The following is a 14,887-nucleotide window of genomic DNA, read 5'->3' on the forward strand; positions in this document are numbered from 1 at the left end:
AGATAGTGTCAGGAGGCAGTAAAGCATCCATCTGAGCTGCCGAGGTAGACACATCCTATCCATTTTAAAGATGAATACATGGAGGTCCAAGGAGACTAAGTCATTGGCACAAACACAACAACGGATGCCAGAAAGAGAAGGATGCCAGAAAGAGAAGATGGAACATTAATTCACTCACTCACTCACTCGCTCACTCACTCACTCACTCACTCACTCACATATTTAGTGGCTATGTCGTTATCTATAGAGCAGCTTTTGTGTCACAAACTGCATATTCAACAAAAAGCCTGGGGCAATGATTATTCTTTTATCCTCCCATGATGCTTCACCCAGGGGTTCAATTATAAATAGCTATAATCACTGACATTTATTCAGCTCACTATTTGCCAGGGATTGTGCAAAGAACTTGCCTGCATTATCTCATTTAATCCCTACAATAACTCTTGGAGGGAGGTATAATTGTTATTGTCTCTATTCTACAAACAGGAAACCCAGGCTTAGAGAGATTAAATAACTTGTCCACAGTCACCCAGCTGGGAGGGATGGAACTGAGCTTAGAACCTTGGTCTGTCTGACTTTAGAAGCTAGCGCTTAACCTCCGTGCTATTCTGCAGAGGTTCAAACTGGTGGCCAATAAGCCAGCTGTGGCCCACAGACATGCTTTCTTATATTTTTAATGAAGCCCACATTCAAAATTTGAGACTGTACTTTTCCAAATACAGATTTCCTTATTTTTCTTTCCAAGATACCAGGCGGTTTGGCCACGTGGGGCCTGTATTCCTTCCTGGCACAGCCAGCTGTTCACAACCCTGCCTGCCTGTGCAGCTTGGCTCCTGGACATCCTCTGCTTGTCTCCAGAGGTGGTTGGGTTCATGTCCCTTGCTAGGTGGCCTCTTTGCGGTACCATGATGCAGGATGAGTGCTCCTTGGATGGAGACTGGAACTTTTACCCTAGAGGGTCACTGTTCCTCTCCACTTGGCCAGATCCATGGGAACCCCGCAAACACAAAGGGGCCAGGGCAGTAAACAGCTTATTAGCTGTCACTACACCTTTCCTGGCTGGCCACAGCAACGGAGCATAAAAGGCCGGCCCACCATGTCAGGAAAATGCCCGACCCAAAAAGCTCGTCTCAGTGCAGCCCATGGCAACCCATTGAAGGCAGATAAAACACTTTCAACAATATCACCTTTTATCTTTGCTTTGTGGGCCAAGGGAATAAAACACAGTTGCCAAACACAAATTAATGTGTAATTATTTTCCTTGCCTGAATCATTTTCTTTCATGTGCCAGAGCATGCTGAGCAAATGGCACCACACCTTGGACTTTAATTGTGGTAATCAGGGCGCTGAGCCACAAGAAAGATTTTCCTAATGCCTCCCTTAGCACTGACTTTCAAGTTGAAGCAATTGAATTTCCCCTGTTCTTCTCTTCTTTTTAAGGGAAAGAAACATATGTTCGAAGAGGTTCTGAGGCTGCTGCACCCGATATCATACCTGGTTGGCCCTGGGAAAGGGCCCACCTCCAATACATAAACACAACCAGCTTTGACAGGTGACTTAACGTGCTCATGGTTGCTCTTTGCTCTAATTCATTTGGTGACTAATTATTCGTTAGTAAGTTTAAGACCACCTATCTTTGTATTAATCATATAGTGGGATACATGTTACGTTGTTTATCTGCTAAGATGGCCTTGAAGTTCCAGTTGTGTGCATCCAGGAAGGGGAAGAGGAAAGTGAGGGTTTACAGGGGTCCTCTGTCGAAAGAAACATCAGGAATGTTGGTGGCTGTTTCTGATCCTCTAAGCCTGTGTTGTAAGTCTTTTGTTTGTTTGGTTTTTGGTGGTTTTTTTTTTTTTTCTTTTGAGATGGAGTCTAATTCCGTTACCCAGGCTGGAGGGCTGGAGTCCAGTGGTGCGATCTTGGCTCACTGCAACCTCCTCCTCCCAGGTTCAAGCGATTCTCCTCCCTCAGCCTCCTGAGTAGCTGGGATTACAGGCACCCACCACCACGCCTGGCTAATTTTTCTATTTTTAGTAGAGATGAGGTTTCACCATGTTGGCCAGGCTGGTCTCAAACTCCTGACCTCAAATGATCTGCCCGCCTCCGTCTCCCAAAGTGCTGGGATTACAGACATGAGCCACCGCGCCCAGCCTGCTGTAAATTATTATGAGCCATTCTTTCTCCTTTCTGCCTTAGCAGATCTAGGGTGGCACTCCCAAGTACTCGGTCATGGTTTGGACACTAGAAATTAGCTATTCTTACAGGAAAACTGCCTGCGTCTTGTCATCAGGAATGAGATTACGTTTAAAGGCGTTTGTGGAAAATCAAAAACACCACCACGTTTCTCTATGGACTATAGCTCCTCAGCCCTGGACATGACCACATCACTCTACGGAGCTCCACCAGCTCCTCCTGAGAGTCCTCTGTTGCCTTTGGGGTTGAGGGAGGATTGTGGGGTTAATGACTTTGTGTTTCCTTCAGTAATAGATGGATTTGGGTGCTGTTTTGAACATGGACATGAGAATGAACCCTTGCGTCTAGAATGTTTTTAAGCTATCCCTTCTAGTGTTCTTTAAGTGATGGGCCCAAGCCATCGGAGTTCTTATTAACTCAACTGGTGCATGGCAGACAGTCAGCAGCATGCAATAAAGGACTAAAACTCGCATAAATGAATATTTTAAGAAAGTCTTTCCTGGGAAGGATGGCTGGAGATAGGGTTAGTTCTTTATCTATCCGGGCACTCATGCATTTGTTTGTTTATTCAACCATGATTGAGTGCCTACTCCAAGAACTGGGGATACAAAAAAGAAAGAGATTCAACCCTGTTCTCCAGAGGAGACTGAGGAGTTGGAGAGAAACAGTGGGTCTGGTAGCCACGGCGGGGAGCACCTGGCCAGTGGTCTGTGGTTGAGTGCTTAACCACTAGCTCTCTGAGTGTAGTTCTGACACTATATTTTCATTTGCATTCACAAGATAAAAGTAAAAGAACAAAGACTCTGTTGGAACCCCACTTGTTCATCAATGACGCGAGGAATTTCTTCGCTAAATTGGGTAACAGTTTTCAAAGACAGTCATGTGTTGCCTAACAATGTTTCAGTTGGACTGCATATATGGCAGAGGTCCCGTAAGATGATAATGCCATGTTATTACTCTATCTTTTCTATGTTTAGCTATGTTCGATGCACAAATACTCACCATTGTATTATGATTGCCTGCAGTATTCCGGACAGTAACACGCTTTACAGGGTTATAGCCTAGGATCAATAGGCCATATAGTCTAGACGTATAGTCGGCTGTCCCCTCTAGGCTTGTGTAAGTACACTCTACAATGCTCTCACAACGACAGACTCACCCAATGAATGCATTTCTCAGAATGTACTCCCATCATTTCCCATCATTAAGCAATGCGTGACTGTACTGGAAGACTAGTTCTTCAATTTTGGGGAGATTTTCACAATGTAATAACTACAGACAGGACACACTTGAAGTTTAATCTGCATTGCTAATACTTTTTTTCATCATTTTTTAAAGTCTAGATAATCAACACAACAATAAACTAAGCTCTGATTTCCAGCATTTGCCAATTTCCATGGTATAAATACTCCAATCGTGGCCAATTTCAAAGTTACCAATGAGATGTCATTGAGAGAGGCACAGTAGCATACTATTATATACAATTTCCATTGTACAGCTGTGATGGAGGTAAATAATCTTAAGAGCATTAGATAATAGTAAAATCTAATAAAATAATTAGGAAGTGATGAGTTTTGAGTATTTACGAGCTGTGTTTTTAATACAATTTACTTAATTATAAGTTTTTATAATTTAATCTTTAATAATTGCTGTATTTAACAACCAGCTTGCAAAATTCCTGACAATTTAATAATTGGCTCTTGTAGGCCAGTAAGGGCAGGCTCTGGCACATTCCTGTATTTAACCCAGCAGGAGAGGTCGGGGAGGGCTTCTCAGAGAAGGAGATTCCTGAGCCAAGGAGAAGTACGTTGTGGTGTAGAAAAGACTATGACCTCCAAAGTCCAACTTCTGTGAGTTCAAATCCCAGCTCTGCCTCTTCCTGGCTCTGTGACCCTGTTGTTAGTTGCTTCCCTTTTCAGTACCTCACTTTCCTATTCCGTAAAATGGGTATCAAAATGCTTAAATCACAGGGTTGTTTTGTGGATAAAGTGCCTGGGCTGTACAAGATGCCCTCACATACTAACTCTTAATGTAAGACAAGTAGGAATTCAGGGGAAGAACATTCCAGACAGGGAGAGCTAATGCACAAAGGCAGAGTGGGAGACAGTCAAGGGCTTGTGGAAACTGCCAAGTGTTCCCGTAGACACAGCACCCATGAACATGCAAATGAAGCTGGAAGAGAAGGCCTTGAATGTCATGCTCACAAACTTCACCTTGATCATGGAGGCTGGTCCCCAGGCTCTAGGGGAGGTGTGGGGATGGGGGCATTTGTTTGGCTTAGTTCTCCATCTGTGAACTAGAGCTTGCTCAGTCCAGACCATCACCAAGGATGATGGTGGTAATGAAAGAGGCTACCCTTTGAAAAGTGTCTAGTGGTCGGGTATGGTGGCTCATGCCTGTAGTCCCAGCACATTGGGAGGCTAAGCCAGGCAGGTGACTTGATCCCAGGAGTTTGAGACCAGCCTGGCAACACGGCAAGACCCCGTGTCTATTTTTAAAAAATTATTTTTTAAAAAAGAAAGTATTTAGCACAGAGCCTGGTACACAGAATACAATAAAGTTAGTTATCATCATTTGTATTCTTTCTAGGGCCCTGCTCAGTGCCTGGGAACAACAGGAGATCAGTAAATGCTTGTAACAAGCATGTCGGGCTGCCTCACACTGAAGCAAAGTTACTGCCCCTGGCCTTGGCATGCAGCTCCCTGGTAGAGCTGGGAGGGCCCCAGGAAGGAAGCTGAGCTGCAGCCAGCCCACATCCACCTGCTATAGCACAGGTGCAGCCAAGGTGGCTTTCTCCAGATCTAGGTCTGGGGGTGCCTTGGGGAATTATCTTTGAGTTCCATGATTGAGCTGCTATAAATGTCACACACAACCCCCAGCTGGTTCTGGGGCGTGTATGACCCTGAACCACTGTATCGCAGCTACCCAAAGACTCACCCTTGGGGTGGCTGTTTCTTCCTGTGCTGGGTTGATTTGGGTTTAACTTAAGAAGACAGAAACCAGAGATTCAGCAGGATTCTTTGGATAATTTAGGGTCCTGCACGCTGTTGTTGAGGAAAGAATCATGGACATTTGCTTCTTTGTTTTGCATGAAATAACTAGTTTACCTGTTTCCAGAAAGCTCTATCATTTATCTGGCCTGCGCAGACACAGCCAAGAACTTGCTGTTACTTTTTAAATTAAATACCTACTGTGTGCCAGAGGCTTTCACAAGGTTAGTTCCAGACTACCGCCCACAGTTGGGAGCAATTTCTTGAGATAAGCCTGGCTAATAGAAGAGAAATTTAGTGTTGATGAGTCATCTGCAACGGTTATTGTCTCATTGAGCCCTTAGGACACCTTCATGAAGGCAGCGTTATTACAGCCATTTTAAAGATAAGGCAAATGAGGCACAGGGAAGTTAACTGAATAATAACAGTGCTTGTTTTTTGAGTGCTTGGGACCGTGAAGTGGCCTTACCTGCAATAGCCCATTCCCGCTTTGCTGCAGCTGCGTGAAGTACTGTGCTGTTACTATCACCCTCGTTTTACTGATGAGGACTCTGAAGCTTAGATGGATCTTCGGGGATGAGCGGTGGAGCAAGGGTTCCAACCCTGGGATCACCCCAGACTCCAAGCTTTTAACCACAACTAGCACAGGTCCCAGCGGCAGGAAGTGCAGTCAGGTTTGTCCCCAGGGAGCCTGTTCTTCTCCCTGTTAACTCTCACCCCGCCATCTTCTTGCAGGCAGCATGGAGATTTTTCACCCTTGGAAGGTGGAATGACACGACCCACAGCTAAGGTTTGAAAGGCCACGCAGAGCACTGTGTGGATTCAGGGTCATCCACTGATTCTAGGTCCACTTGAGCCAGTTCTCACTCATTTCTAGATTTTAATCTAGAATATTAGAGTGGAAATAAAACCCATCCTTTGTCATCCCTCAAGCTCCTTCCATTGTCCTCCTGAGGAGATGCAACCCTAGGGATGAGTGAGGAATTGCTGGGTGTCCAGGGAGGGCTGGAGAGAAAGTGCTTTGAACACACTGTGGCAGATGTCATGGTTCCATCTCCATGCTACCAGCCGGGCTGACAGTGGCCAGCTTCTTGCAGAAGTGCCAGCTTTACTATTTCTCACTGCAGCCTCGGTGCCATGACTGGACCAGGCCCTTCAGAACATACATCTCCTCCCAAACAGCATCTTTTGTGCTTTTCTTTGCTTTTTAAATTTCTCTTCTTTTTTTTTTTTATTTTTGGCCAAATTCACACCAATGTAAGAGAACTCATCCGGACTTCTCAAAGCCACAAAGCATAAGAAGAGTGAGAGGGATCAGAGGGTTGGAGGTGCATGGAGGCATTCAAGACCAGATGCGTACGGTCGGCTAAATGCCACTGGGAGACAGTTTTCCCCATTATTTCCTTCATGCCTCTATGGAATCTGGTTTTTGCAATGGAAATATGGCCACAAATGACTGCTGGACTCCAGTTCAAAAGGCTCATTTCTGAAATAACCACTAAAGAACTTATTTACATAACCAAACACCACCTGTTTCCCCAAAACTATTAAAATATAAAAATAAAAAATAAAATAATAATTTAAAAAATATAAAAAAGAAAATAAAAACCTTACACAATACAAAAATTATATCCAAGGTATGACACAGGGATTAAGAATGGTGTTGTATATTCCAAAGATTTCATATAAATGGTTCAGTTATCTCTACTAAAACTAAAACAAAAACAAAAGGCTCATTTCTGAGAAGAGAGGGGAATTGAACTTGGAGCCTTTGGAATCCATTCGGCTCTGCTATCTGACCTTGGGCAAGTAACTTAACCTGGGAGAATATAGACAGAGCTGGTTAAATCTTCTCTTAGCCTCTCTGAAGGGGAAACTATTATCATGCCCATTTTACAGATGAGAAAACTGAGGCACAGAGGGGTTAAATAACTTGCCCTAAGTCATGCAACTAAAAAGTGACAGAGTCAGGATTCAAACCCAGGCCCTCGGGCTCAAATACTCATTTCCTTCCCCTTCTGTTCCTATGGCTGAATCTGGGTTTGATAACTGGGCTCAACCTAGAACTTTCCAATGTCATCCTTCTTCCTTTGAGAATCTTGGAGGTGGCAGATCCGAGAGAGGACTGGCCAATCCACACGAGAAGCCCGGAGAGGAATCCTCCACTGTCGGTTTCCTGCCCCCAGCCCGTTAAATAAGCACAACTTTTCCATGGTAGAACATTTTCAAAATACAAGTAAGCCAAAATAATAAATTATAAACCATCCATAATCCCACCCACTCAAAGGTAACAACTCTTAACACCTGATGAGTGTTATTTCCCACATCTTTCCATGTATATAAATACATACTTTTTTACATCTAACAAAAAACAGTATTATGTGATACATAAGCTTTTGTTTTGATGTTTGGTCCTGACGTGGAAATAGCTTTATGAATTCATGTGATTATTTTAATAGATACATATTGCACAAACCATTTAGATGATGCAGGAAATGATGAAGAATAAAGTAAAATATCACCCCAATCTCACCAGCCTGAAGTAATCACCATTTACCTTGCTGTGTGTCTCTTTCTCAGCCTTTCTCTATGGAGAACAATTTATATATACTACATTTTTACTCCAAATGGGACCATACCTCTAGCATTTTGAGTGGTTATTTTTTCTGTAATATTATATTGTGGGCATTTCCCCGTGTCAATAAATACAGCCCTACATTACGGTTTTCAATGACCATGCAATATTATATTTTATGCAGGTGTCATAATTTGTTTAACCGTTCTCTCATTGTTAGTCATTTAGATTATTTCTAACATTTTCATTTTACAAACAGTACAGTGATGAATAACCATATGGCTGAGATTTTGAGCATTCTCAGTTGTTTTCTGAAAATAAATTCTAAGGGGTAGAATGGCTGCATTTAAAGGCATGCCTGCTTTAAAAAGCTATATACTTGGCTGTGTGCAGTGGCTTATGCCTATAATCCTAGCACTTTAGGAGGCCAAGGCAGGAGGATCACTTGAGCCCCAGAGTTCAAGACCAGCCTGGGCAACATGGCAAAACCTTGTCTCCTCAAAAAATAAAAATGTTAGCCGGGTGTGGTGGCATGCACCTATAGTCCCAGCTACTTGAGAGGCTGAGGCAGGAGGAGAATCACTTGAGTCCAGGAGGTTGAGGCTGCAGTGAGCCATGTTCATGCCCATGTCCACTGCACACCAGTCTGGGAGAGAAAGCAAGACTCTGCTTCAAAAAAAAAAAAAATTTATGTACTTAAATTAAGAACCCTGCTCCTGGGACACCGCTATGTGAAGATTTTCAAGAACAAGGAAAAGCTCATGTGTCATGGAATCCATCAGCCAACTGCGTCCTGTCCACAGTGAGAACTCTAGAGGATAAATTTGAATACTTAGCATGTATTTCCCCCCATGAAGAGGGAATGCTCCAGCTCAGGTGGACTCAAACTCTTCCTTTTCCCTCCCAAGCATAGCATGCATGTTTTCACCCCTAGCTCAGAGGTCAGCCAGGCTTGCCTCAGCTCTTGAGAATCAAGTGGTATTTCATCAAAACCCCATCATCATGTCCTTCCGATCTTTCTAGATTCCAAGGGCTTACTGTCACGTTTCACCTCCTGGTCCTACTGCACACCACTGTCCTTCCCCCAGGTCACCCTGGGCGTATTGTAGCCGATTCCCACAGCAAAGCATCAAGCATTTTCTAAGTCCCTACTGTGTTTTCTGGAGGATTCTAAGGAGGAATCATGTACACCCATTAGTCATCTTCAAAGTTCCAGATTCTCTCTTCTTTGAAGTTCTGCTGCCAGTGAGGAGTCTCTTTCTCTCCTTCATAACGCCACCTAACTTACTGTCTCCTCTCTTTCCTCTTTAGGTTTCTCCCTAGAAACTTAAAATCTGTTACTTAAACATTCCCTTAGAGTCTCAAACTCCACCCCAAACGAGATATCAAGACATTTCTTCCAAATTAATGCAATGCTCTATGAAAGAATTTCGTTGACTAAATTTTCCTACAGCTGCTTTATGCATCTCTGTTTTATTTATAATAAATCTATCAGATGGTCTCAATTTAAAATAGTTTGTTCAGTAGTGCCCATAAACCTAAGCTATGTCCTTAGAAATACCAATAATATTTTATTTTTTAACTTGCCTCTTCCAACCAAAGTGGGTATATAGATAGTATATAGAAGAGTACCTCTTCTCCTCCAAATAATTGCATTTGTGTACCCTGATTTGGGTTCTGAAATTATACTTAGAACACATATACACAAACAAAAGGAAATAAAATTTATACAATTTCAGCTCTTATTTCAACATCCTATCTGCATTATGATTACTTGTTTCTAGTTACATATTCACCTTCATCCCCCACTGGGTTGTTCATCTCTTTGAGGCAAAGACAAAATTAGCCCCAGCCCAGCATGGTGCCTAAGACAAAGTTGGACTGCAAAATATGCCAACTAATTTGAATTGTTGTGATGGCCTTTGATCCTTGGGGTGTTCATAAAACTTCTCAGGTGAGTTCATGTGAACAATAATACTATCACTGACATATACAAAGTTAAATAGGCAGTGTCAATAATGAGCTTTGCAAATGTTTGGGGTATTTTCCATTTTAGGAGTTGGTTCCTCTCTTATACTATCAGGCTGTAAACAGATATCTGACTCTGAAGATCCATGGGTTTGGATATTCCAGGCAAGGCTTTTCTCCCAGGTGATTCGCAGTGGGATTGACCCTTGAAGTTGAAGGGTCTTCTTCAGTTTCTGTCTCTCATCTGGTTTCCTGAATTGAATCAGAATTTGATTTAAACTCACAGCTGAGGGATGTTTCCTAGCTACAGAATCCAAGACTTTCTAGAAGGCAAGAATTACAAGCTTATTTTGAGAGTTTTTTTGTGGGGGGGGGTGGGGTTCAAAGAGGGCTACACTCTTCTACCCTTTCCTCAAAATTATTTCATTTTACATAGTATTTCCTCTCACTTTTCCCCCCCCCAAAAAAAAACCATAAAATTTGGAGGAAAACAAACCCTGTCTTTAACCCTGCATAAAGCTTCCTACAAGATGAGATCTATCTTTGATTAGAAAATTATTATTTGGGGGCGGGTACAAGACAGCCGACTAGGAGCAGTGGCGTTTGGAGGCTCCCATCCGAAAAAAAAAACAAAAAAAAAGCATAATAAGTTTGTGAATCCTTCACCGGCAACCAAGGTATCCAGGTTCTTTCATCAAAATTGACTAGATTTCTCTCCATGGCATGACCCATGGAGAGAAGGAAGAACAGTATGATGGGATGGCCTACCTGAGAGCCACACAGGGCAGGGGAACCCCCCCACCCCCAGCCAAGGAAGGCGGTGAGTGAGCACACTACCCAGCTGGGGAAACTGTGCTTTTTCCACGGAACTGTGCAACCCACAGACGGAAGATCCCACTTGTGAAACCATGCCACTGGGGCCTAGCATCCCAACCCCAGAGCGTGCAAATTTTTAAAGCCTCTCAGCTGGAATCTGCTCAAGCCTACCAAACTCCCAGTGGGAGGGGCAACCAGCACCAGCTGTGGCTGACTACTGTCTAAGTTGTTTAAGCTCCTTCGGGGAGAGGCAGCAGCCAGCACTGGGACTCACAACTGCCTAACACACTAAATTCCCTGGGGGTGGGGAAGGGCAGCACCCATTTCTATAGCTTCAGGCTCTGCTTTTCCCCTGCTGGAGCCAGGGAGTCTGGACAGCTTGGTCCCAAGATTTGTCCCCACAGCACAACACACCGGCTCTGGCAGTCTGTGGCCAGAGCGCCTCTTCAGGCCTAACCCTGACCCATCCTTCCTCATTGGGAGGGGATTCTCTGCAGAAACTCCAATAATTCCCACCAGAGGCTCAGGGACAATATTCAGATCTCCCTGGGCCTGAGCCTCTAGTGGGAGGGGTGGCCACAGTCTCTGCAGACCAGCTGACTTAGCCTCTCCTCCTGATAGTTGTGAGGAATCCAGGCAGCCCAGATGAGTAGGTTTGCCTCTAGCAAAGCACACCCCCTCCATCAAGGGACAAAATACTTCATTAAATGGGTCCTGCTCCCTGTGCCACCCAACTGGGTGAGACCCTCCAACCGGGGTTGTCAGACACCCTATATAGGAGCGATCCTACTGGCATCAGGTTGGTGCTCCTTGAGGTCAGAGGTCCCAGAGGAAGGAGCAGGCACCCATCTTTGCTGTTCTCCAGCCTCCTTAAGTGGCATATCCAAGCACAAGAGTGACTCAGATGAGTAGGGCCTGAAGTGAACCCCCAGCAAACTGCAGCAGCCCTACAAAAGAGAGACCTGACTATTGAAAGAATAACAAACAAGCAGGAAGCAACAACTACAGCATCAACAGCAACAACAAAAAGTCCCCCACAAAAATCCCATCCAAGGGTCAGCAGCCTCAAAGACTGAAACTAGACAAACTCACAAAGATGAGAAAGAATAAATGAAAAAAATGCTGAAAACCCAAAAGGTCAGAGTGCCTCTTCTCCTCCAAATAATTGCAACCTCTCTCCATCAAGGACGCAGAACTGGATGGAAGATCAGATGGACAAATTGACAGAAGAAGGCTTCAGAAGACGAGTAATAAAAAACTATGCTGAGCTAAAGGGGCATGTTCTAACCCAATGCAAAGAAACTAAGAACCTTGACAAAATGTTAGAGGAATTGCTAACTAGAATAACCAGTTTAGAGAGGAACATAAATGACCTGATGGAACTGAAAAACACAGCACGAGAACTTCGTGAAGCATACACAAGTATCAACAGCGAAATTGACCAAGCAGAAGAAAGGATATCAGAGATTGAAGACCACCTTACTGAAATAAGACAGGCAGACAAGAATAGAGAAAAAAGAACGAAAAGAAATGAAGAAAGCCTTTAAGAAAAGGCTTCATAAAAAGACCGAACCTACGATTGATTGAAATACAAGAAGGAGATGGGGACAATCGAAACAAACTGGAAAACACACTTCAGAATCGTATCCGGGAGAACTTCCCCAACTAGCAAGACAGGCCAACATACAAATTCAGGAAATACAGAGAACACCATTAAGATACTCCATGAGAAGATCAACCCCAAGATACATAATCATCAGATTCCCCAACTTCGAAATGAAGGAAAAACTGTTAAGGACAGCCAGAGAGAAAGGCCAGGTCACCTACAAAGGGAAGCCCATCAGACTACCAGCGGACCTCTCAGAAGAAACTCTACAAGCCAAAAGAGATTGGGGGACAATATTCAACATTCTTAAAAGAAAGAATTTTCAACCCAGAATTTCATATCCAGCCAAACTAAGCTTCATAAACCAAGGAGATAAAAAACCCTTTACAGACAAGCAAATGCCGAGGGATTTTGTTACACCAGGCCTGCCCTACAAGAGATCCTGAAAGAAGCACTAAATATGGAAAGGAAAAACTGGTACCAGCCACTGCAAAAATGCACCAAAATATAAAGACCAATGACACTATGAAGAAACTGCATCAACTAGTATGTAAAATAGCATCATGATGACAGGATCAAATTCACACATAACAATATTAACCTTAAATGTAAATGGGCTAAATGCCCAATTAAAAGACACAGACTGGCAAATTGGATAAGGGGTCAAGACCCACCAGTGTAATGTGTACTCAGGAGACCCATCTTACATGCAAAGACACACACAGGCTCAAAATAAAGGGATTTACCAAGCAAATGGAAAGAAAAAAAAAAAAGCAGGGGTGGCAATCCTAGTCTCTGACAAAACAGACTTTAAACCAACAAAGATCAAAAAGACAATGAAGAGCATTTCATAACGGTAAAGGGAACAATTCAACAAGAAGAGTTAACTATTCTAAATATATATGCACCCAATACGGGAGCACCCAGATTCATAAAACAAGTTCTTAGAGACCTACAAGGAGACTTAGACTCCCACACAATAATAGTGGGAGACTTTAACATCCCACTGTCAGTATTAGACCATTCAATGAGACAAAAAATTAACAAGCTTATTCAGGACTTTAACTCAGCTCTGGATCAAGTGGACCTAGTAGACGTCTGTAGAACCCTCTACCCCCAATCAACAGAATATACGTTCTTCTCAGTGCCACATGGCACTTATTCTAAAATCAACAACATAATTGGAAGTAAAACACTCCTCAGCAAATGTAAAAGAACTGAAATCATAATAAACAGTCTCTTAGAACACAATGCAATCAAATTAATCAAAACTCAGGATTAAGAAAATTACTCAAGTCTGGGCATGGTGGCTCACACCTGTAATCCCAGCACTTTGGGAGGCCGAGGCTGGCGGATCATGAGGTCAGGAGATCAAGACCATCCTGGCCATCACGGTGAAACCCTGTCTCTACTAAAAAAAATACAAACAATTAGCCAGGCATGGTGGCAGGCACCTGTAGTCCCAGCTACTCAGGAGGCTGAGGCAAGAGAATGGCGTGAACCCAGAAGGCAGAGCTTGCAGTGAGCCAAGATTGTGCCACTGCACTCCAGCCTGGGTGACAGAGTGAGACTCTGTCTCAACAAAAAATAAAAATTAAAAAAAAAAAAGAAGAAGAAAATTACTCAAAACCACACAATTACATGGAAATTGAACAACCTGCTCCTAAACAGCTCCTGGGTAAATAATGAAATTAAGGCAGAAATCAAGAAGTTCTTTGAAACCAATGAGAGCAAAGAGATAACATACCAGAATCTCTGGGACAGAGCTAACGCAGTGTTAAGAGGGAAATTTATAGCACTAAATGCCCACATCAGAAAGCTGGAAAGATCTGAAATTGACACCCTAACATCACAATTAAAAGAGCTAGAGAGGCAAGAGCAAGCTAATCCAAAAGCTAGCAGAAGACAAGAAATAACTAAGATCAGAGAAGAATTGAAGGAGATAGAGACACGAAAAACCCTCCAAAAAAAATCAACGAACCCAGGAGCTGGTTTTTTGAAAAAAATTAACAAAATAGATAGGCCTCTAGCCAGACTAATAAAGAAGAGAGAGAAGAATCAAATCGACACAATAAAAAATGATAAAGGAGATAAAACCACTGACCCCACGGAAATACAAACTACCATCAGAGAATACCATAAACACCTCCACGCAAATGAACTAGAACATCTAGAAGAAATGGATAAATTCCAGGATGTATACACCCTACCAAAGCTAAACCAGGAAGAAGTTGAATCCCTGAATAGACAAATAACAAGCTCTGAAATTGAGACAGTAATTAATAGCCTACCCATCAAAAAAAAAGCCCAGGACAAGATGGATTCATAGCTGATTTCCACCAGAAATACAAACAGGAGCTGACACAATTCCTTCTAAAACTATTCCAAACAATTGAAAAGGAGAGACTCTTCCCTACCTCATTTTTATGAGGCCAGCATCATCCTGATATCAAAGCCTGGCAGAGACACAACAAAAAAAGAAAACTTCAGGCTAATATCCCTGATGAACATCGATGAGAAAATCCTCAATAAAATACTGGCAAACCAAATCCAGCAGCACATCAAAAAGCTTATCCACCGTGATCAAGTTGGCTTCATGTCTGGGATGCAAGGCTGGTTCAACACATACAAATCAATAAACGTAATCCATCACATAAACAGAACCAAAGACAAAAACCACATGATTATCTCAATAGATGCAGAAAAGGCCTTTGATAAAATTCAGCATTGCTTCATGTT

At 43.0% G+C, this 14,887-nt stretch overlaps 1 long non-coding RNA gene across 1 annotated transcript in view; it reads left to right on the forward strand.

Moving 5' to 3' along the window:
• LINC01411 (long intergenic non-protein coding RNA 1411) overlaps window positions 1-14,887 on the forward strand; it is a 190,786-nt gene that overhangs the window by 89,845 nt on the left and 86,054 nt on the right. The window contains exon 2 of the long non-coding RNA NR_125806.1: window positions 1,441-1,552. This is a non-coding gene — a long non-coding RNA (long intergenic non-protein coding RNA 1411). The remainder of the gene's footprint in view (window positions 1-1,440; window positions 1,553-14,887) is intronic.

This window comes from Homo sapiens, chromosome 5 (genome assembly GCF_000001405.40).
Source record: "Homo sapiens chromosome 5, GRCh38.p14 Primary Assembly".
Classification (NCBI taxonomy): Eukaryota; Metazoa; Chordata; class Mammalia; order Primates; family Hominidae; genus Homo; species Homo sapiens.